The sequence below is a fragment of the Homo sapiens genome, chromosome 4, assembly GCF_000001405.40.
Source record: "Homo sapiens chromosome 4, GRCh38.p14 Primary Assembly".
Lineage (NCBI taxonomy): Eukaryota > Metazoa > Chordata > Mammalia > Primates > Hominidae > Homo > Homo sapiens.
The window spans coordinates 122,068-142,914 of record NC_000004.12 but is presented as its reverse complement, the minus strand read 5'-3'; the positions used below and the strand labels follow the sequence as shown (position 1 = coordinate 142,914).

General features: G+C 41.2%; 2 protein-coding genes across 8 annotated transcripts in view, besides 3 other annotated features; one reads left to right on the top strand and one right to left on the bottom strand.

Annotated features, from left to right (window-relative positions):
- ZNF718 (zinc finger protein 718) overlaps nt 1-18,439 on the bottom strand; it is a 77,831-nt gene extending 59,392 nt beyond the window's left edge. For 2 of the 7 annotated variants that reach the window (NR_110527.2, NM_001039127.6), the window contains exons 1-3: nt 18,242-18,414; nt 12,001-12,127; nt 11,410-11,505 (exon numbers count right to left, since the gene is read on the bottom strand). Coding sequence is in view for 4 of the 7 variants with exons in the window: in NM_001039127.6 (NP_001034216.2) it covers nt 11,410-11,505; nt 12,001-12,127; nt 18,242-18,244 (226 nt within the window). In the remaining 3 variants the exon portion in view is untranslated. Of the gene's footprint in view, nt 1-11,409; nt 11,506-12,000; nt 12,128-14,513; nt 15,852-17,618 lie in introns of those variants that run through there. The other 5 variants (NR_110528.1, NR_110529.1, NM_001289930.2 and 2 more) reach the window with 4 other exon arrangements.
- Nucleotides 17,180-17,239: an enhancer, noted in NCBI's record as "active region_21125". NCBI's record gives its function as "activates an Ori minimal core promoter by ATAC-STARR-seq in GM12878 lymphoblastoid cells {active_cell/tissue: GM12878}" and the evidence as "EXISTENCE:reporter gene assay evidence [ECO:0000049][PMID:35858748]".
- LOC124900641 (uncharacterized) lies at nt 17,324-19,711 on the top strand. The gene has a single exon (XM_047416469.1). It carries the CDS (start codon nt 17,667-17,669, stop codon nt 18,141-18,143), a length of 477 nt encoding a protein of 158 aa, XP_047272425.1. The 5' UTR covers nt 17,324-17,666; the 3' UTR covers nt 18,144-19,711.
- Nucleotides 17,500-17,699: an enhancer, noted in NCBI's record as "active region_21124". NCBI's record gives its function as "activates an Ori minimal core promoter by ATAC-STARR-seq in GM12878 lymphoblastoid cells {active_cell/tissue: GM12878}" and the evidence as "EXISTENCE:reporter gene assay evidence [ECO:0000049][PMID:35858748]".
- Nucleotides 17,990-18,429: an enhancer, noted in NCBI's record as "active region_21123". NCBI's record gives its function as "activates an Ori minimal core promoter by ATAC-STARR-seq in GM12878 lymphoblastoid cells {active_cell/tissue: GM12878}" and the evidence as "EXISTENCE:reporter gene assay evidence [ECO:0000049][PMID:35858748]".
- Nucleotides 19,712-20,847: the final 1,136 nt, after the last annotated feature.

The window sequence follows — 20,847 nt, the reverse complement described above, 5'->3', positions numbered from 1 at the left end:
AGAGTTCACAGTATGCTCCTTACTCAAGGTTTCCATAAACCAAACCTCGTAAAATTAAATAGATCAAAGAATGAGCCAGATAAAGAGTTTACTTACTTAACTAAGCAATTTCTTTGTTAATCCCCTACCACTGAATTTCTATAATCTTCATTTGATGTATTTCTCCATAAGCCACAAGTGCCAGCAGCTGCACAGGTACCTCTTTGTTTAGTCAATTCTATTATAACTTTCACAAAAGAATTTAAAGTCTATTGTGTAACTGTAGCCTTTACAGTAGAATTTGCTATAGAGCCTATCATGAGGGATACCTTTTTAAATCATTGCTTCTTTTACTTTAAACCATGGGAAAGGACCTAACAAATGATGCCCCTCTAGAAGAGTGAAGGCCTCCTGGCAATGGTCTCTTTAGCCCACGGTGTGGGTTAACAGGAGTGAACCAATGTTTTGTTTTTGGACTGATTATGAGGCAATGTATGTACCATTAAAGTTTCTTACTTACACTGACTGGGCTTTCATCTTTTATTTATCTAAGTATAAGCTTATCCATATATAAGGCTGGCTGCAAACTCCTTCACAAATAGAAGTATACTCCATAAATGCACTTAACAGATCCCTTTTCTACTTTTAATGTTTGTAGAAGCATAAGAAAAAAAATTCAAAGGTAAGAGTTTTATGATAGAAGTTTTAATTTGTGAACTTGGGAAAAGCTGTTTACATCAAGGATGCCATCTTCTTGGGAGAAATCTCCCTGGTTAGCTTCACCTCAAGGGTTCCAATGGCTGCACAGTTCCAAAAATGTGGAGGGACCCTTATCAAAACCCGTTAACCTAAAGCCCAAAGTCCTGACATTTTGTTGTAGTGTGGGTGGCAAGGACAGTTTTTCTCCTATGTTCTCAGAAGATTTAAACCATAAAAAGCTTTTTTACCTGCTGGAAATATACTGTAGCATAATAATCTCAGCCTCCTTGCATAGTAAAGCTTTTATACAACAGAAAACATGCATTGAAAATAACAACTGAATGAAATCCCTTTATAAAATGTTTAAATGGCCCACCAGGTGACCAAATATACCTGAAGCTTTAATTGTATTGTATTGTTTTGGTATTTAATTTTTGTTTTACTTGTGTTAGTAGGTCAGTAGCTTTATACAAGGAAATTTGATTATTTCTGCAGTTTATAATAACATAATAACCATAATTATAATTGACAGCATATACTATTTTAGAAATCTCATACAGTTTTGGAACATATATTAGTATTATTCACAAAAATATAACCTAAAGCAGATTGAACATCATTTTAGCAATCACATGTACCCAAACATGTCAAATAATCCTGTTTACCTCCTTTCTGAATGTTTTCAGTGGCCCTCTGATCCATCCAAAAAGCCAGGCATTAGGAAACAAGCATGTATGTGAAATTTGGCTTTACATTATATCCAGCTTCATGCTTAACTATATTTAAAAAAATAATTGCCAAACTGCTGATGCATTTTTACAATACTTTTTATTTTACTTTAATCAAAACTAACAGCTTTATGAAAATGTTTAATTAGCCAAACGTCTCCAATTCTTTATCAGGGTTTAAAAAATATTTTATGATTTAAACTTTTCCCACATTTTTTGCCTAATGATTCCTTACTACATTGTTTTATGAATAACCTTTTTAAATCTGTAATTTGAACCAACTTTTAGATAACTATTGAATTAGACAAAACTATTCTCTTTTTTTTTCATGAATAACATAACCCTTTCTGGTACATTTGGTATACAGAATTACATGTTAAATAGAAACCTGAAACTTTAGTGAAACCCTAAAAAACAAAAAATCCTGAACTAATGGATATGGACAATTCCGCAACTTTAGAAGAGACTTCGGATAGAATGGAAGAAGGCAGGCTCACCCTAAGTAGCTCCCAGCTTGAATTAACACTGACATTTAAAAATATTTAGCAAAGACAAACATAAAATTCAGACAAAATGTATGCTGATAATTATGAAGGCATTTATATTTTTATTCCACCAATAATTTTAAAGCTAGCTTGTTTAGTAAAGTTATACTTTAAGTCACATGAACTTGAAAATTGCTTAGACTTACTTATGAGTGCTCTTTTACTTATAAGCCAATTTGGTAGACATAACATATAACAGTAAGTGTACATGCAAATAAAGACATCTAGACATGTATACACACACATAAATGAAGACTCAATAGCTTGGAACCTTAGCCATGAGATAGCAATAGAAACTTACTGGTTTTACTTTGCCCCAGTAGATAATCCAATGAAGGCTGTGAACCAAAATTTTGGGTAAAGCAGTCTCCATGGCAGTTTGATTTTTAAAGGCCAAACCTCCCCAGAATCCAAAGAGCACTGGGGCCAAACCATACCAAAGGAGGGCATCACACATTAACCAGGTCCCCTGCTTGGAACCACAGCACAAAAGCCTGCATAGATACAATGCCATTCCACTTTTCCATTCAACAGTAAACTCCAAATTCCAAACAATGTTGGGGCCAAACAGCATTGCAACTATGAGAGAAAATTCCAAGGAGGGTTTAGTACCAGACCTCAGAACCTCTGCCAAGAACGTCCCCTTTGGGAAGGTTGAGGTCCGCAGGACCCACAGAGTATCCTCCTGTGGATCCGATCTCAGTGTCAGATGTCTCTGACCTTAGGTGGGCACCTCCAGAGCACACTATAAGCTTTATAAAAATAGCCATGAACTGCAATGAGAACTGGATGCCGGGTGGGCCTTTTTGTTCCGTAGCCAGTTGAGTACGGTAAGGGAAGAATTTAGCATAAGAAGGTTTAAGTCCCTTAAAACATGTGCGAGTTTGCTCTGAACTGCGCCACACATAGGGATCGGGGACCACGTGCAGAAAAGATAAAAAAAAAAGTCATTCCCCCTTCTGGGCAGGGCAATTATAAACAGCGACTTAAAGACTGAGAAATAAAGGAAAAAAAAATGAAAAAGACCCAGGTTCCTTAAGCAAACCAGGAGGTGGCAGTCAGCCTTCTCTGCACGGAAACCCATTAGTTTCACAGGCCACAGCCAGAAACCTGCAGTTGCCTCCACGTTTAGGTGCTGCCCACCAAGTGTTCCAAGTTGGAAATGAAAAGAGAAAGCTCTTGTATGGAGCAGAAAGGAAAGAGAGAAAAATGAATCCCAAACTTTGGGCTTACTTCTTCCTCCTGGCTGGCCAAAATATACGTTACCAGTTGTAGGTGTCCAGGTCCTTGACGTCTTTAACAAAGAATTGGACAAAACGCACAAAGCAAGGAAGGCATGAAGTGATTTATTGAAAATGAAAATACACTCCACAGTGTGGGAAAAAGCCCAAGCGTAGGGGCTCAAAGGCCCCATTACAGAATTTTTGGGAGTTTAAATACCCCCTAGTATGCCCTATGTAAATGGAGAGGATGAAATAAAGTTACAAAGTTATTTATGGCCCATGCCCTATGGAAAGGTGAAGTGTGAAGTGGTCTTATGTTTTCTGCCTCCAGACTCTATTTTCCTGCCTCAATATAATGGGGGAGTCTCTTCAACAAATTGTGTTACAAAAACTGAATATCCATATTCAGAGGAATAAAACTAGACCTCTATCTCTTGCCATCTAAAAAAAATTAAATCAAAACGGATTAGAGACAAATCTAAGACATCAAACTATGAAACTACTACAAAAAACATTGGTGAAACTCTCCAGGAAATTAAACTGAACAAAGATGTCTTGAGTAATACCCCACAAGCACAGGCAGCCAACGCAAAAATGAACAAATGGAATCACATCAGTTAACGAGCTTCTAAACAGGAAGTGAAACAATCAACAAAGTGAAGAGACAACACATAAAATGGGAGAAAATATCTGGAAACTGCCTATAAGGAATTAATAACAAGAATACATAAGGCACACAAACAGCTCTATAGGATAAAATCTGATGATAAATAAGCAAAAAATTTGAATAGAAATTTCTCAAAAGAGAGCCTACAAATAACAAAAAGCCATATGACAGGGTGCTCAACATTATTTATCATCAGAGAAATGCAAATCAAAATGACAATGAGATATTATCTCACCCCAGTTACAATGGCTTTTATCCAAAAGTCAGGTGATTAATAAATGCTGGTGAGGATGTGGAGAAAAGTGAAAGTTGAACTCTAGTACTCTCTTGGTGGGAATGTAAATTACTACAATGACCATGGAGACCAGTTTAGAGGTTCCTCAAAAAATGAAAAATAAAGCTACAATATTATCCAGCAATCCCATTGCTAGGTATGTACATAAAAGAAAGGAAATCAGGACATCAGAGAGATATTTGAAGCTCCATTTTCACTGCAGCAGTGTTCACATTAGCCAAAATTTAGAAGCAACCTAAGTGTCCCTTACATGAATGGACAAAGTAAATGTGGTGCACATACATAACAGAGTACTTTTCAATCATAAAAAAGAACAAGATCCCATCATCTTCAACAACATGGATGGAACTAGAGGTCATTATGTTAAGAAAAATAAGCCAAGCACATGAAGGCAAACGTTGCATGTTCTCACACATTTGCTGGAGCTAAAATTAAACTAATTCATAGAGACAGAGAGCAGAAGGATTGTTACCAGAGGCTGGAAAGTGTAGCAGGGGACTGGGGGAAGTGGGGAAGATTAATGGGTAGAAAAATAATTAGAAAGAGTAAGATGTAGCAGTTGCTAGTACACAGAGTGACTATAGTCAAAAGCAATTTAATTGTACATTTTTAAATAACTAAAAGAATGTAGTTAGGTTGTCTGTAAAACAAAGAATAAACACTTGAGGTAATGAATACCCATTTACCCTGATATGATTTTTATGCATTTCATGCCTACATCAAAATATCTCATGTAACCCATAGATACAAAAAGCTACTGTGTACTCATAAAAATTTAAAATCCTGAACCATATACAAAAACTATCTTGAATAAATTAAATATTTAAATGTAAGAAGCATAACTCTACAATTTTTGGAAGAAAATACAGGAAGAAAGATTATGACATTGGTCTTGGCAATGTTTTCTTGCATATAGCATCAACTACATGAGTAACAAATTTAAAAACACAGAAAAATGGACTACATTAAATTTATCTCTGAACATTAAAATAAACATTTAGTCAGTCCCGAGTAAGAAAAAAAAAAGTAAAAAGTATACATTTGACAGAAGTTAACACCCAGAATAAACTCCAAAAAGTCAACAAAGAGTAAGTAATATGATTAACAAATGAACAGGAGGTGAAAATGTTTCTCCAAAGAATAAATACACACAGCAAACAATTATTGAAAAAATTTTTAATCTTTAGAAAAATGTAAAGCAAAACCACAATGAGGTATTATCGTGTATTAATTGGAATGGCCAATATCAAGCAAACAAAAAATAACAAATGTCAACAATGTAGATGAATTGAAACCCTTGTGCACTGCTGGTGGGAAGAAAGTGATGCAGCCCCTAAAAAATGTATAGGGGTTCCTCCAAAAAAAAAATGAAGTTATTCTATGACCCACTAATTCTACTTCTGAGCATCCTATTCAAAATATGCAAAGTATATCTGACAGAAATATTTGCACATCCATGTTTACTGCAGCAATATTCACTGTATTAGTTTATTCTTGCATTGCTATAAATACCTGAGACTAGGTAATTTTTTTTTTTAGAAAAAGGTTTAATTGGCTCGTGGTTCTGCAGGCTGTACAGGAAGCATAGCAGCTTCTGTTTCTAGAGAGGCCTCAAAAAGCTTCCAATTATGGTAGAAAGCAAACAAAGAGTGAGTCACCTCACATAGTGGGAGCAGGAGCAAGAGACAGTGAAAGGAGAGGTGCCACATGCTTTTAAAAAATGAGATCTCAGGAGAACAAACTCACTATGCCAAAGACAGTACCAAAGGGGATGGTGTTAACCATTCATGAGAAGCCAACCCTACCATCCCATCACCTCCCACCAGGCCCACCTCCAACACTAGGGACTGCAACTTGACATGAGATTTGAATGGGGACCCAGATCCAAACTATATCACTTACAAAAGCCAAAAAGTGAAAAAACTCAAACACCCTTCAATAGATGAATGATTTAAAAAGATGTGGCTTATACATACAATGAAATATTCCTTAGCTTCAAATGAAAATATCTTGTCAGATGCTACAATAAGGATAAATCTTAAAGCCATTATTTTAAGTGAAATAAGATACTAATAAAGTGACAGTGTATGATTCCACTTAGGTAAGATATCTTAAGTAGTAAACTCACAGAAAACACAAGTAGAAAGGTGCTTGCCTTTGGCTAGGGTTGTGAAACCTCAGTGGAGCCAAAGATCAAGTAGGGATATTTGGAAAAAGCAGGGCCTCACCCAGGTGGCCAACTCAAGAGCCCATAGACATGGCTGCAGATAAAACATGGCACACTAAGCTTGGTCTTACTAAGGATGCTGAAGCAGTTCTGCAACCTGTCTCAAACTCCTCTCAGCTACAGTACACAAGTGGTCCTTCCTATCAAGAGACCTGCAAGGAGACACACCCAGCCATGGACCTGGAGGCAGGCCTACAGATCTCGGCCTCAGCTATGTTCCCTGAAGCAGTCCTGTGACTCAGTTCTAGCCCTCACAGCCACAGTCCATGGCCAGTTGTACACACTCAGGGACTCAGAGAGACCTGTGAAAACTGTTCCCCGGTAGTCAGTAGAAGCCAAACCCATTCATACACCTGGTACTTGGCCTATCATACGCAGACAAACTTCAAAACCCTGCCTTACTGCCTGCCATACAGATTAATGTCCTCAAGGAAATTTAATCTTTCCAGGGCCCAGAAAGAATCCATGACTGTCCAAATCTCCGGTAACACAACCATCAAAAGCAGAGGTAATCTCATCAGCAGGAGGACAGAACAAAAGGAGTTCTTTACCTGCCAAATTGTAATCATTGTTATAGTTACAGAAATTATAATCATTGTTAGATCCTTCAAACGTACAGACACAGGGCTGCTTCAGAGACCACAGCTGAGGCCAAGATCTGCAGGCCTGCCTCCAGGGCCACAGCTTCTATCTTAACATATTACTAAAAATTTGTATGAGAACAATTAGGCAAGGAAAAGGAAAACGAAGCTCTCCAGCTTTGGGAAAGAAATAAAAACATTACTGTCTGTAGATTATATAATCATGCACATATATATAACTCTAGAGTAAATGAACAAAAACTCAATAAATGCATTCATTAAAGCATCAGGATACATAATCTTGTGAAAGGAAAATAAATCTTGGAACTCTTGGGGCCCCCAAAATCACTAAGCTAAACCGTCAAGCTGGGTACTGCCTAGGGCAAACCTGCCTCCCATTCTATTCAAAGTCATCCCTCTGCTCACTGAGATAAAGGGACATCTGATTGCCTCCTTTGGACAGACAAATCAGAAACTCAAAAGAATGCAGCAGTTTGTCTCTCATGTACCTGTGACCTAGAAACACTATCCCTGCTTAAGCTGTCCTGCCTTTCAAGATGGAACCAATGTACATCTTACACATATTGATTTATGTCTCATGTCTCCTTAAAATGTATAAAACCAAGCTGTGCCCAAACCACCTTGGGCACACGTCATCAAGACTTCCTAAGGCTGTGTCAGGGGCACGTGTCCTAAACCTTGACAAAATAAACTTTTTTTTTTTTTTTTTTAAGACAAGAGTCTCACTCTGTCTCCAGGCTGGAGTAGTGGTGCAATCTCAGCTCACTGTAATTTCCACCTCCTGGGTTCAAGTGATTCTCCTGCCTCAGCCTCCCTAGTAGCTGGGACTACAGGCGCGTGCCACCACGCCCAGCTAATTTTTGTATTTTTAGTAGAGATGGGGTTTCACCACGTTGGCCAGGATGGTCTTGATCTCTTGACCTTGTGATCCACCCACCTTAGCCTCCCAAAGTACTGGGATTACGGTCGTGAGCCACTGTGCCTGGCCAGCAAAATAAACTTTCTACATTAACTGAGACCTGTCTCAGATTTTCAGAGTTAATACTCTGTTGCCCAGGTTCATCTTAAACTCCTATGCTCAAGTGATCTATCAGCCTTGGCCTCTGAAAGTGCTGGGATTACAGAAATGAGTCACTGGAACTGGCCCAACATAAAAATATGTGTTGCATTTCCAAATAGTAACAACAAACTTTCCAAAAACAAACAAACAAAAAAGAAACAATTTTCATTTGCAACAATTTAAAAATAAAAAATTTAATCATAGTAAATTTAACCGATGAGATTAAATATGTATACACTAAATACAATAAGATGTTAATGACAGAAATTTCAGTAGACACAAATAAATGGAAAAATATTCCATTAGAATAACTAATACTGTCAAAGTACCGTATTATCATAAGTGATCTATATATTCAAAGTGAAAATTTTAGTGTCATTTTTCACAGTAATAGAAAACACAATTTTGAAACTTAAGTGTAACCTTAAACAACTTTAACACTGATTGGCTGGGCACGGTGGCTCACGCCTGTAATCCCCAGCACTTTGGGAGGCCGAGGTGGGCAGATCACGAGGTCAGATAGAGACCATCCTGGCTAACATGGTGAAACCCCATCTCTACTAAAAATACAAAAAATTAGCCGGGCGTGGTGGCGGGCACCTGTAGTCCCAGCTACTTGGGAGGCTGAGGCAGGAGAATGGTGTGAACCCGGGAGGCAGACCTTGCAGTGAGTAGATATCGCGCCACTGCACTCCAGCCTGGGTGACAGCGAGACTCCATCTCAAAAACAAAACAAAACAAAACAAAACAAAAAAACTTTAACATTGATTGATGGTGATTGTTAGTGCCTGAGGGTGGAAAATACGGAAATGTTGTTCAAAGAGTACAAATTTTTAGTTGTAACTTGAGTAACTCTGAAAAATCTAAAGTACATTCAGCATTAGATCAGCAAAATAGCATTATTTATAGTTAGTAATACTGTAATGTATGCTTACAATTTGCTACAACAGTAGACCTTAAGTGTTCTTACTACAAAAAAACTGGTTATCTACCTGAGGTAATAGATGTGTTCACTAACTTGACTATATTTTATTTTACAATGTATATACATATCAAATCATTATACTGTACACATTATACAATTTTTATTTATCAGAAAAATCCAGGTTGCACATGTATGTACAGTAAGTCCTCACTTTATGTTCAAAATAGGTTCATGAAAAGTGCATCTTTAAATGAACATTGTTGCTATATGTCATGCAAACATAACTCTTGTATTAAATTCTGGTAAAAATTAGTTTACTTAATATGTTGCTTCACTTACTGTTTCCAAGAACCTATCAGCAAAGTTAAGTAAGAATTTATTATACACATATATAACTTATATAGGTATGTGTATGTGTGTGAGACACACATTTTTATATATAGATAGATCTCAACAGAACTTCAGTAGGCTTCCTACTAAATAAGACAAAATTAAAAGATAATAGTTATTAAGAAATAAGGTAATAATTGAGAGCTTACTATACACTTAGCAATGTTCTAAGCTGGTTGATGACAGTGCATTTAAGAAATCTAGAAGGTGAGTAGATACCTTAAATCAGTGGTGGCCAACCCTTTGAATGTGAGGGCATTTTTACTTATCTGTGGTAGTGGATATCACAAAAATTATTCACAAACCTTTTTTTTTTTAAACTCATCAGCTATTATTAGTGTTACCATATATATATATATATATATATATATATATATATTTTTTTTTTTTTTTTTTTAAGATGGAGTCTTGCTGTGTTGCCCAGGCTGGAGTGCCTGTGGCACGATCTCAGCTCACTGCAAACTCCACCTCCTGGGGTCAAGCAATTCTCCTACCTCAGCCTCCCAAGTAGCTGGGATTACAGGTGCGCACAACCATGCCAGGCTAATTTTTGTATTTTTAGTAGAGATGGGGTTTCACCATGCTTGCCAGGCTGGTCTCTAACTCCTGACCTCATGATCTGCCCCCTCGGTCTCCCAAAGTGCTGGGATTACAGGTGTGAGCCACCGTGTCCGGCCACGTTACTGTATTTTATGTGTGGCCAAGACAATTTTTCCTCCAATGTGGTCCAAGGAAGCCAAAAGGTTGGAAACCCATGCTTTAAATAATTTGAAAACTTGCAAAAATAGAGTTTAAATTACAAATCTCAGTTTATATTAAAACAATAACATTTTGAAGTAAAATAAAATTACATTTTTTCATATTTAGGAAAACACTTATTGTTCTGATAAAATTGCTGAGTAAGAATTTTTGTAGAATTACATTTGCAACCTCTATAGGATTAAAAATCACTAAGCAGAAAAGATGCAATACCTGCAACAACTGTCTCTGGTGTTCCTGGGATCTCTGAACCAAATCCCAATATATCCACTAGTCACCGTACACATTTTAGACATGATGCAAAGACAATATTTGAAAAAAAGAAAAACTTTAACATAGAGCTCCTCAATAATACAAATGTTCCCAGGTCCCCAAAAGCAATGAACAGCAGTCAGATCATGTAGCCCTTTGTAAGTGATAAAGTGGACACTGGCACTCCCTGTAAACTTGAAGGGAGATCACTAAAGGAAAAACAGAATTCTTAGATTTAAGAGCATGGGAGAGAAGATGACCCTAAGAGAAAAAATGCAGCCTTTTCAGAAATTATTTTCTTTGTCACAGAGCTTCCCAAACTACATTTATTTATTTATTTGAGACAGAGTCTAGCTCTATATTGCCCAGGAGGGAGTGCAGTGGCGCAATCACAACCTCTGCCTCCTGGGTTTTTTTTTTTTTTTTTGAGACTGAATCTCGCTCTGTCGCCCAGGCTGGAGTGCAGTGGCACGATCTCAGCCGACCGCAACCTCTGCCTCCTGGGTTTTTTTTTTTTTTGAGACGGAGTCTCGCTCTGTCGCTCAGGCTGGAGTGCAGTGGCACGATCTCGGCTCACTGCAAGCTCCGACTCCTGGGTTCACGCCATTCTCCTGCCTCAGCCTCCTGAGTAGCTGGGACTACAGGCGCCCGCCACCACACCCGGCTAATTTTTTGTATTTTTAGTAGAGATGGAGTTTCACCATGTTAGATAGGATGGTCTCGATCTCCTGACCTCATGATCCACCCGCCTCGGCCGCCTCCTGTGTTTTTAAGCAATTCTCTCTGCCTCAGCCTCCCAAGTAGCTGGGATTACAGGCGCCCGCCACCACACCCGGCTAATTTTTGTATTTTTAGTAGAGACGGGGTTTCACTATGTTGGCTAGGCTGGTCTTGAACTCCTGATCTCAGGTGATCCACCCACCTCGGCCTCCCAAAGTGCTGGGATTACAGGCGTGAGCCACGGTGCTCAGCCTCTCAAACAACATTTGAAGGCCTGGCTTCCTTCTTGACTTTTGGCCTCCTTGTCTGTGTCCTCTCCTCCATTCACTCTCACCTACCTGGGGGTCTGGCTGCTGTTTCATGTATCTTCAAATTGTAGGGCTCTTTTCTTTGCTCCAGACTGGTGACCAGGTCTGGGTTAGAGATACTAACACCTGTTTTATTAAAAAAAAAATTAACATGACTATTGCTGGGGATACTCCAATTACCAACCTAGTACTATGCTAAGTAGAATAGAGAAATTAGGGAAGATTCTAGAAAATTAATCCAAAAATTGTTTTCCGACAGAATCTGTAGAATATTTAAGTATTTTAAATCTGTGGGCTTTAAGTTCCACTACCGAGTACTACTGAATCAAAAATAAGTAGTGCAAATTGCATGTTAAGATGTGAAAGACAATTATTTTATATCATTAATTTCTAGAATTACCACTAGCCTAGAGCGAAGGAAACAAATTAGCTCAAAAGAAGGTTTATGTAAAGATGAAACATCCTAAAGATTTTATTTTTTATACCACCAAACTCCCAACTTTTTCGTGAAGGAACTGAAATTAATTCATGCAAAGCAGAAGCTCTCAAGAGACATTCTACAAAGGAAGAAAATGAAATTCTGAAAAAGTATTAGGAATTACATATTAAAGTTATCCTTACCCAGGGAGACCAGGTTTCTGTAGTTCTCCAACATCACATCTCTATATAAATTCTGCTGGGAAGTGTCCAGACATTTCCACTCTTCTGGAGAGAATTCTATGGCCACATCCTTGAATGTTAAGAGTTCCTGAAAATACACATTTATCAAGTGACAGAATTCTTTTTTTTTTTTTAATACGGAGTCCCGCTCTGTTGCCCAGGCTGGAGTGCAGTGGTACGGTCTCAGCTCACTGCAAACTTCACCTCCCAGGCTCAAGTGATTCTCCTGCCTCAGCCTCCCGAATAGCTGGGATTACAGGCACCCGCCACCATGCCTGGCTAATTTTTGTTTATTAGAGACAGGGTTTCACGATGTTGGCCAGGATGGTCTCCATCTTCTGACCTCGTGATCCGCCTGCCTCGGCTTCCCAAAGTGCTGGGATTACAGGCGTGAGCCACCGCGCCTAACCAAAAACAGGAATTTTTCCACCCAGAAAAACAGACAGGATCTGTGGGGAGGGCACACGTTATGGTTTCTCTTCAGACTGTCCATGTAATTCTACTGCAAGACTGGGCTAAGAGTCACTCAGCCAAGCATTGCCTCTAAGGTTCAAAATGCATATAAATTATTTGGTATTCAAAGCCTCACTGTAAGTAACAAAATTCTGCAGGTTTGAAAAGGGTCCATGAATTAGCTTCTTATTGCAAGTCTCCTGTTATTGCAAGTCTTCTTATTGCTGACACTCCTCCCCCTAGACCCATTATACCACTCAGCTAGAAAAAGCAGTCACAGCATGAGTCCCTCACTGCAACACCCTTATCACGACACAAATACTTTACATCCGAAGACAAGACCACCAATCATCATCTTGAAATACGGCATTCTCTGCAAGCCCTTTAATGTTTACAGAGGCGGAAGATGGTGGCAAGTCTGAGTAAGTCTGCATTTGAAAAACGTGTATATGCATCAATGCAATCTTTATAGAGCATGTACTATGTGCTCAGAAGTATGCCATAGAGCAGTGTGCTGGGAAGTTCACATTATGTGTGTTAATACTATAACATCCTGAAAAGTAGTCCCATGCTTCCCAGGATTTAAATGCAGGGCCCCAGCATTTCTATTTGTTCTTCTGTTTTCTTATCATTGTTTTTTTTTTTAAATGCGTAGAATAATAGCTCAATATAGAGAGACGGGACAGATACAGAAAGGAAGTGCTAAGTGCAATTCAGAGGAATTTTTTATTTTTGTGTTTGTAGTTATTATGAGACTTGTGAAAAAAACCACTGAAACTGCAGAGATGGGGAACAGGTTGCTGGATAGGATGTCTCTAGAAACACTGACTTTAATTTTATAAAAAAGAATTTAAGGCACAAAAGTATATTGCTTTTCCTCATTTATCTGCTTTTGGGTATCAGGAAATTGTGAGCACCAGCTCTGGAGAGGCAGTAGGGGTAGCCACCCCAAACTCTGATCTCCTCTAAGCAGTTCTGTGAGAGATTTCAGTGTGGGGTAAGACCTGGACAAGGTTCAGCAGAGGGTGGATCTGGGCAGAACTGGGACAGAAGGTGGGCCCTAGGCATCTGCTCTCTATGCCCGTAAGTATTTTCAGTTTTGTCTTTTCTAAGCCTGCCCAAGAGAAATTTGATTCCCAGAGTTTCTGTATCTTAATCTATTTTAGCTAATTCCCTATTTTATAACATTATAACACACAATAACAAGGAATTTAACCAAAACCCTTATGTTTTTCTAGACCAATTATATTAGAAGCTAATTATTTATTCTTAGCAAGGTAAAAACAACACAAATAATAACAACAATTTCTCTTCTGTCAATGAACAGCTGATCAGATGGTGGCATTAAAACTCACAAAACAATAAAAGGGAAGTAACACAAATTAAGCTTAAGTCTCCATACAGTTTCTGTCTTTGTACTGAACACACGATGCTGAATTCAATCATTTATTCATGTGCTCTAGACTGCAAGTTCCTTGATGGTAGGGACCATGACTGCTTTATGTCTTTTTCTAATGATCATATGAAATAGAAGCAATTAGCTTATTGATCAGTTTGAGTCTCCAGATTCCTCATTTTTCACCAAAGAACCAGAAAACTGGAGCAATTCTTATCTGGGTACAAACCAAGGAGATTCTTTCTGTGAGGGGAGGAACAAACCCTGCATGAGTCACTTATCTTCCTCTGAAATGGGAGCAGAATTAGACCTTGTCAGACTGACCCCAGTCTGCACATGACATCCTCAAATGTCTCATTACTCAAAGATGCTGAGTAATGATGCCCTCATAGTGATCCACGGAGGAGACACTCAGGCTGACTTTGTGTGGTGCAAACAGAAAATGGCGCTGTCCTGGTGGTCCTGCACATCTTGGCTCCAGATGTGATATCCCCTGTCCCTGATCAGCTAACTCTGAGGTAAGAAGAAGGACAAAAGTACTCTACTCCCATAACACAGTATAGAGGAGGAAGGTACACTTGTGATTATGGTTGTCATTAAGGCTCTGGATATTTTGTGGCCTTACCTCCCACTGCTAAGATGCTTGTTTACACTTAAAGATTCTGCCACAGGATTCTGTTCCCATCAGAAGCCTCTCACACAGCTGTAGCAGGTCACTGAACAAGATCTGGAAAACTCAAAGGGCCCCACTCTAAAAATGGGGCTTAAGATGTCTACATTGACCTCTCATGATGCAGAAAATGTCTTCTGTGAGTTTTTCGTATGTCTTCAACCCAAAGTCTGGTCCAGTGTTGGGAATCCCAGGCAGAGGCCAACTTTTGTATGCAGATTCTAGGTGGGATCAATGTGCCTCTACATTCTTAGGGGTTAGAGTAAGCAGAGTAAAACCAGAGGAGAGATCACCTCATGGAGGCTCCTTCAACACATTCTTAAGAATATTTTGACCTAAAAGGAAATACTGGGATAAACATAATATAAGTAGAGAGTTTTCTGGGGCCAAAGCTTGAAGACTGCAATCCTGGAGTATAAAGCTACCTGAATATACACTCCAATTACAAGTATATTTGTAAAGGCAAAAAGGAAGGCAGGATAGAAAGTTGTCAGGAATTCTTATTTACAGAAGTAACATTGGTTAGTGATTGGTTATATACATTGTTAAGCTATTGGGTGTGGATTATAGTGTCCAGTGTGGCATTATTAGGTTAATTTATAGCCACTTGTGCCAATAGCAAGCAATTTCAAAAGACAAATAGTTCAAAGACGGGAACAGTACATCACTGTGGTCTCATTTTAACCAGTCTCTGGGTCTGATCATTAAAAGAACATGTATTTCTCAAATAAAAGTTCTTTTCTTCTCTCAAATCCCAGAAAATAAATTCAGAATTTGGAACTGCACATTTAGGTCTTGGAGGGCTGGTGAGCTATGCACATTTGCGGGCATTTGGGCAAAGGGAGGAGGGAGAGAATTGAAGTTCTCAAGTTTAATCAATGCACATGTATGATCCTGGTTGGGTTTATGGGCCCCGTGATCTCTGAATCCGTGTCAGATCTGAAGATGACAGGAGCACTGAAGGAGGTGAAATAACTGATTGCTGTCCTGAAGTGATTTTTGTAGAAATCTAGTCTAACTGCTCTAGAAGGGACTGTAGATCCCAAATAGAGAGACTATTTTGTTTGCAGATTTGGGGAGCACCTTGCTGCACTTTGTCATACAATTGTGGGTTGTGGCTGGAATCCTGAGAAGAAAGGTTTTTCTCTCAAGTGAAGCCTGGTGGGCACTTTGTATATAACGTCCAGTACTTCTAAACAGTGCATGGAAAATATGACTAAAAGAAAAATTTTCAGCCAGGCACGGTGGCTCACGCCTATAATCCCAGCACTTTGGGAGGCCAAGGCCGGTGGATCATGAGGTCAGAAGATGGAGACCATCCTGGCCAACATGGCGAAACCCCGTCTCTACTAAAAATACAAAAAAATTAGCTGAGTGTGGTGGCGCGCCTGTAATCCCAACTACTCAGGAGGCTGAGCAGGTGAATCGCTTGAACCTGGGAGGTGGAGAATGCGGTGAGCCGAGATCGCACTACTGCACTCCAGCCTGGCGACACAGCGAAGACTCCGTCTTAAAAAAAAAAAAAAAGAGAAAAATTATCTCCAATCCTAAAAAAATTTTCCACCATAATAGAACAGCAAGAAAATGTTTTGTTATATAATTAAACCAAAATGTGATGTGCATCACAGGCAATCTACTAAGAGACTGCAAACACAGAAAAAAAGTCACCATTAGTTCTTAAGTAGAAGACTTGAAAGCACCATTTACACAGTTTATTATTTCACCTAGTAATTTGGGAGGTAATCTGGGTTTTCTAATTGGTAATATTCAAAAGAAAAATAAACTTCCCACATCTTCATGACAGGACGTAGACCCACAATGTGGAGCCAGGTACCTGCTGAAGGCAGCCTCCCACCCTCCTACAGAAACTGTGGGATATATTCTTGCTATTCACATTTCAAAGCAATAGTTCCCAAGTCCTAGATAAAGACAAGTCTGAGTCAAAAAAGACAAATGACCTATTTAACTGATAAAAATGATTTACATATATTTCAAAAACTGGTGAAAATAATTATAAAAATTTTCCACCTAAATGCTTTAAGAAAAGGGAGAAGAGCAAAAATTCTTCCCTCACTCTAAAGAGAAATCATTAAGCCTCTTCTAATTTGTATTTGCTCCTACAACAGCCAGGTCTAAGGCATGGTCTTGAATTCCCTAACGTCTGAATTCTTGTAGGCACGTAAGGGATGAACTTGGGCACACTGTATGCACAGAAAAGAGGATTTGTGGGGAAGGAAAAAGCACAAGACAGCAAGGAGCTATCAAGAGCCATGGGGTGGGGGCAGGGCACAACTGATGAAAGGACTGGTTTGTGCTACAGGTACAGGCCCAGGCAGGGCTACGCACTGACTGATTCCTGAGTCCATAAAGGCATAGGAGATTAAGATCAGATGGTCCAGAAGCCTGGGTTGGAGAAGGAAACGGGCTCCTGCTAAACAGATCTGGGGTTGAGATGAGCCAGGAGTCTTCTGGGCACTGCGTGTGCTTTTGGCAGAAAACTGTAGGAGCAAAACTGCCATGGGCACAATTCCTGAGGGTAGAACCCTGTCTTAGGCCAGGTGTGGCCGTGCGAATGCCCAGTGGGCGTGCTCAGGAGTGGGTTAGCATTGGGTGGGGGCTGGCAGCAGGATGCGGGGAAGGGATGTTTCTTAGAACTGCTTTCCTCTAAGTTCCCAGTCCCCTTTCTCCCCGGGAGGAGGCCTGGAGGAAGAGGACAGTGCCCAGCGGGACAGCGCCTGTGCAGAACCCGGCCGCGCCTCCTGCGGACACCAGGTGACTTCCTCCAACCCAGACTCGGCCATGTCTTTCTTCTGACAGAAAACTTGCGGAGTTTCCTCAACACCAGTCAATGCTCCAACCCCAACGGGGTGTCCAGCAACTCACTAACGACACCACCCAGAGTCAGCGCTGACCCCACAAGCTCAGCACTCTTCCCGCAGCTGCTCTCCTGCAGACGCCAGTCCCTGCCTCTGGACACCCGTCTTCATTTCTGAACCCCTGCCTACAAACCAGGGACGCCCACACCCTCCTCAAGTTCAATAATGTGGCAGAACTACTCACAGAACTAAGAGAAGCGCTGTGCGCACCGACACCAGCGTATTCTAAAAGATGCGAACAGACACCAGCGTATTCAGGAACAGCCACGCGGAGGAGGCGCACAGGGCAAGGGGACTGGCGGCAAAGTTGGCGCAGGCAGGTGATTTGCTTCGCTTCCTCACACACCTCACAAAAGCCTTTCCTTCAAGACCCGCTGGCAGTCCCCAAACCACGAGCCACGGCAGAGCTTTCCCATTAATAAGTCCTGTTTGCTCACATGAACTCCATGTTTTGATGGGGCCTCAATCTCATTCTGAACAGGGTAAAGTAGGGACGGGATTCCGGACCACAGCTCCTCCCACGCCGGCACCGCGCAGGCCGCCGCGGTGTCTTCCGGATGAGCTCCTACTCACTCCACAGCCCGGGGAAAGTGCAGGGCTACCGGCGCAGAGCTGCACAAGGAGGGCTGCAGGCTGGGCCAGAGCCGCTGTACGGGGACTGACAAGAGCGCGGGTCCCTCACCGGAGGGGACTGAGGACAGAGGGCTGAGCGGGAACTCCATTCACAGACTCCTCCCACCGCCGCCATTTCCCGCCGGTTCCGATGAGGCCTCCACAGCCTTGGGACGCCCTGCCCTGCACACTCACCATTTCCCGACTTCAGGAGTGTCCCAGAGTCTTAGATACGAATCATCCAATACCGGCAGGTCACAGAGCCACAGAGGCTGAGGCTGTGGCAGAATCACCGAGGCTTCCCTAAGGAGCGGGAGCAGAGCGATGAGGCCCTAACCGAGCTCTGGCTGGAGCTACAAGCAAAAGCCGCGCCAGATCCCGGATGCCGCACCCTCCTCTCTGCTGCGCGCCTCATTCGGCAGTTGTCAATCCAGCGCTCTAATTGGATAGAGCTGTAAGTCTCCCGCCTCAGGCCTTGAGTGACAGAAGTTGCAACCATACACAGCACTGAATGAGGCGAGAGTGACAGGCTCTGGCCTCCTGGTACTTTGAGGCAGGTTTTTTGTGTTTGTTTTTTGAGTCTGGCTCTTCTCGCCCAGGCTGGAGTGCAGTGGCGCGAACTCGGCTCTCTGCAACCTCTGCCTCCCGGGTTTAAGCGATTCTCCTCAGCCTCCCAAGTAGCTGGGATTACAGGTGCCCACCACCACACCCGGCCAATTTCTGTATTTTTAGCAGAGACAGGGTTTCACCATGTTGGCCAGGCTGGTCTTGAACTCCTGACCTCAGGGTATCTGTTCGCCTATGTCTCCCAAAATGCTGGGATTAAAGGCGTGAGCCACCACGCCCGGCCCAGGCTGGGGTGTTATCTCTGTGCTTGGCTTGGTACAGCCCAGTGGTCATTTTTTTAACCTTGTGGTATGTAAGGTTAGGTCCATTTATAATATAAATTATACACACACGCATGCATGCACGCACATGCACACACACGTACACATGCACGCGTGCATACACAAACTTGTTCACAAACGGAAACAATATAATGACAATTATTTTAATGTTTTATAACCTTTCTGGCCTCTGGTCTTTTGAGTAGGACACATGAGATTTTAAGAAGGAAGTAATCCTCTAAAAAATAAAATGTTAGCTATTAGTGAATTTTCAATTTTTTATTAGCCACATCGAAAATAATAAAAACAAGTGAGATTGTTTGTGATAATTTTAGCCTACTATATCCAAAATATTATTGTTTTAATATGTGATCAATATATAATTGAGAGGTGAAGCCAGCTGGACTTCCTGGGTAAACTGGGGACTTGGAGAACTTTCCTGTCTTACAAGAGGATTGTAAAATGTACCAATCAGCACTCTGTAAAAACGCACCAATCAGTGCTCTGTAGCTAGCAAGGGGATTGTAAAATGCACCAATCAGCACTCTGTAAAATGCACCAATCAGCAGGATCCTAAAAGTAGCCAATTGCAGGGAGGATTGAAAAAAGGGCACTGTGATAGGACAAAAACGGAACACGGGAGGGCACAATTAAGGGGAAATGGGAGGTGGAATAAAAGCTGACCACCCCAGCCAGCAGTGGCAACCAACTGGGGTCCCCTTCGATGCTGTGGAAGCTTTGTTATTTCCCTCTTCAAAATAAACCTTGCTACTGCTCACTCTTTGGGTTCGTGCTATCTTTAAAAGCTGTAACACTCACCACAAAGGTCCGTGGCTTCATTCTTGGTCAGCAAGACCACAAACCCACCGGAAGGAACCAACTCCAGACACATAATTAGGAATACCTATATTTTGCCAGGCGCTGTGGCTCACGCCTGTAATCCCAGCACTTTGGGAGGCTGAGGTGGGTGGATCACGAGGTCAGGAGATCGAGACCATCCTGGCTAACATGGTGAAAGCCCGTCTCTATTAAAAATACAAAAAAATTACCCAGGCGTGGTGGCGGGTACCTGTAGTCCCAGCTACTCAGGAGGCTGAGGCAGGAGAATGGCGTGAACCCGAGAGGCAGAGCTTGCAGTGAGCCGAGATTGCACCACTGCACTCCAACCTGAGCGACAGAGCAAGACTCCGTCTCAAAAAAAAAAAAAAAAAAAGAAGTAAAGTATATTTCTGGTATAATTATTCTAAACTCACTGTGCATTTTTTGTTTGCAGCACATTTTACTTCAAACCATCCACATTCCAGGTACCCAGTAGCTACATATGGCAGGTGGCTGCCACATTGAGTGCAGACATGAGGGTTCTGACCTCAGGGAATTGAGGGCCTGAACACGTCTTTTCTGCTGGAAGTGAGGGAACAGCCTCTCTACCAACTTTTCTCCTCAGGATCAAGGGTGGGTGGGACAGAACCCCTAGAGAGAGCAGGGGCTGCAAGCTGAGAGTGTCCACGTGAAGACCACGGTCTCCCAGTTGCTGTTTTGTAGAGATGTGGTGGTCTCCTCAGTTCAGCCAGGTCTAGCCTCTCATCCACGACCAAGAAGAATGAAGCATGGCAATACCAGAGAGTGAGTTTGGCAGAGTAGGATTTATTAAGCAAAAGGAAAGCTCTCAGCAGCAAAAGGGGACCTGAAAGCAGGTTGCCTGAAATGGGCCTAATTTCTTTTTTCTTTTTTTTTTTTTTTTGAGACAGAGTATTGCTCTGTTGCCCAGGCTGGAGTGCAGTGGTTTGATCTCAGCTCACTGGAACCTCTGTCTCCCTGGTTCAAGTGATTCTCCTGCCTCAGCCTCCTGAGTAGCTGGGATTACAGGCACCCACCATCATGCCCAGCTAATTTTTTGTATTTTTGTAGAGATGG

Coding starts and splice junctions, on each gene's coding strand:
- LOC124900641 (XM_047416469.1), top strand. CDS start 17,667: ATGCGAACAGACACCAGCGTATTCAGGAACAGCCACGCGGAGGAGGCG.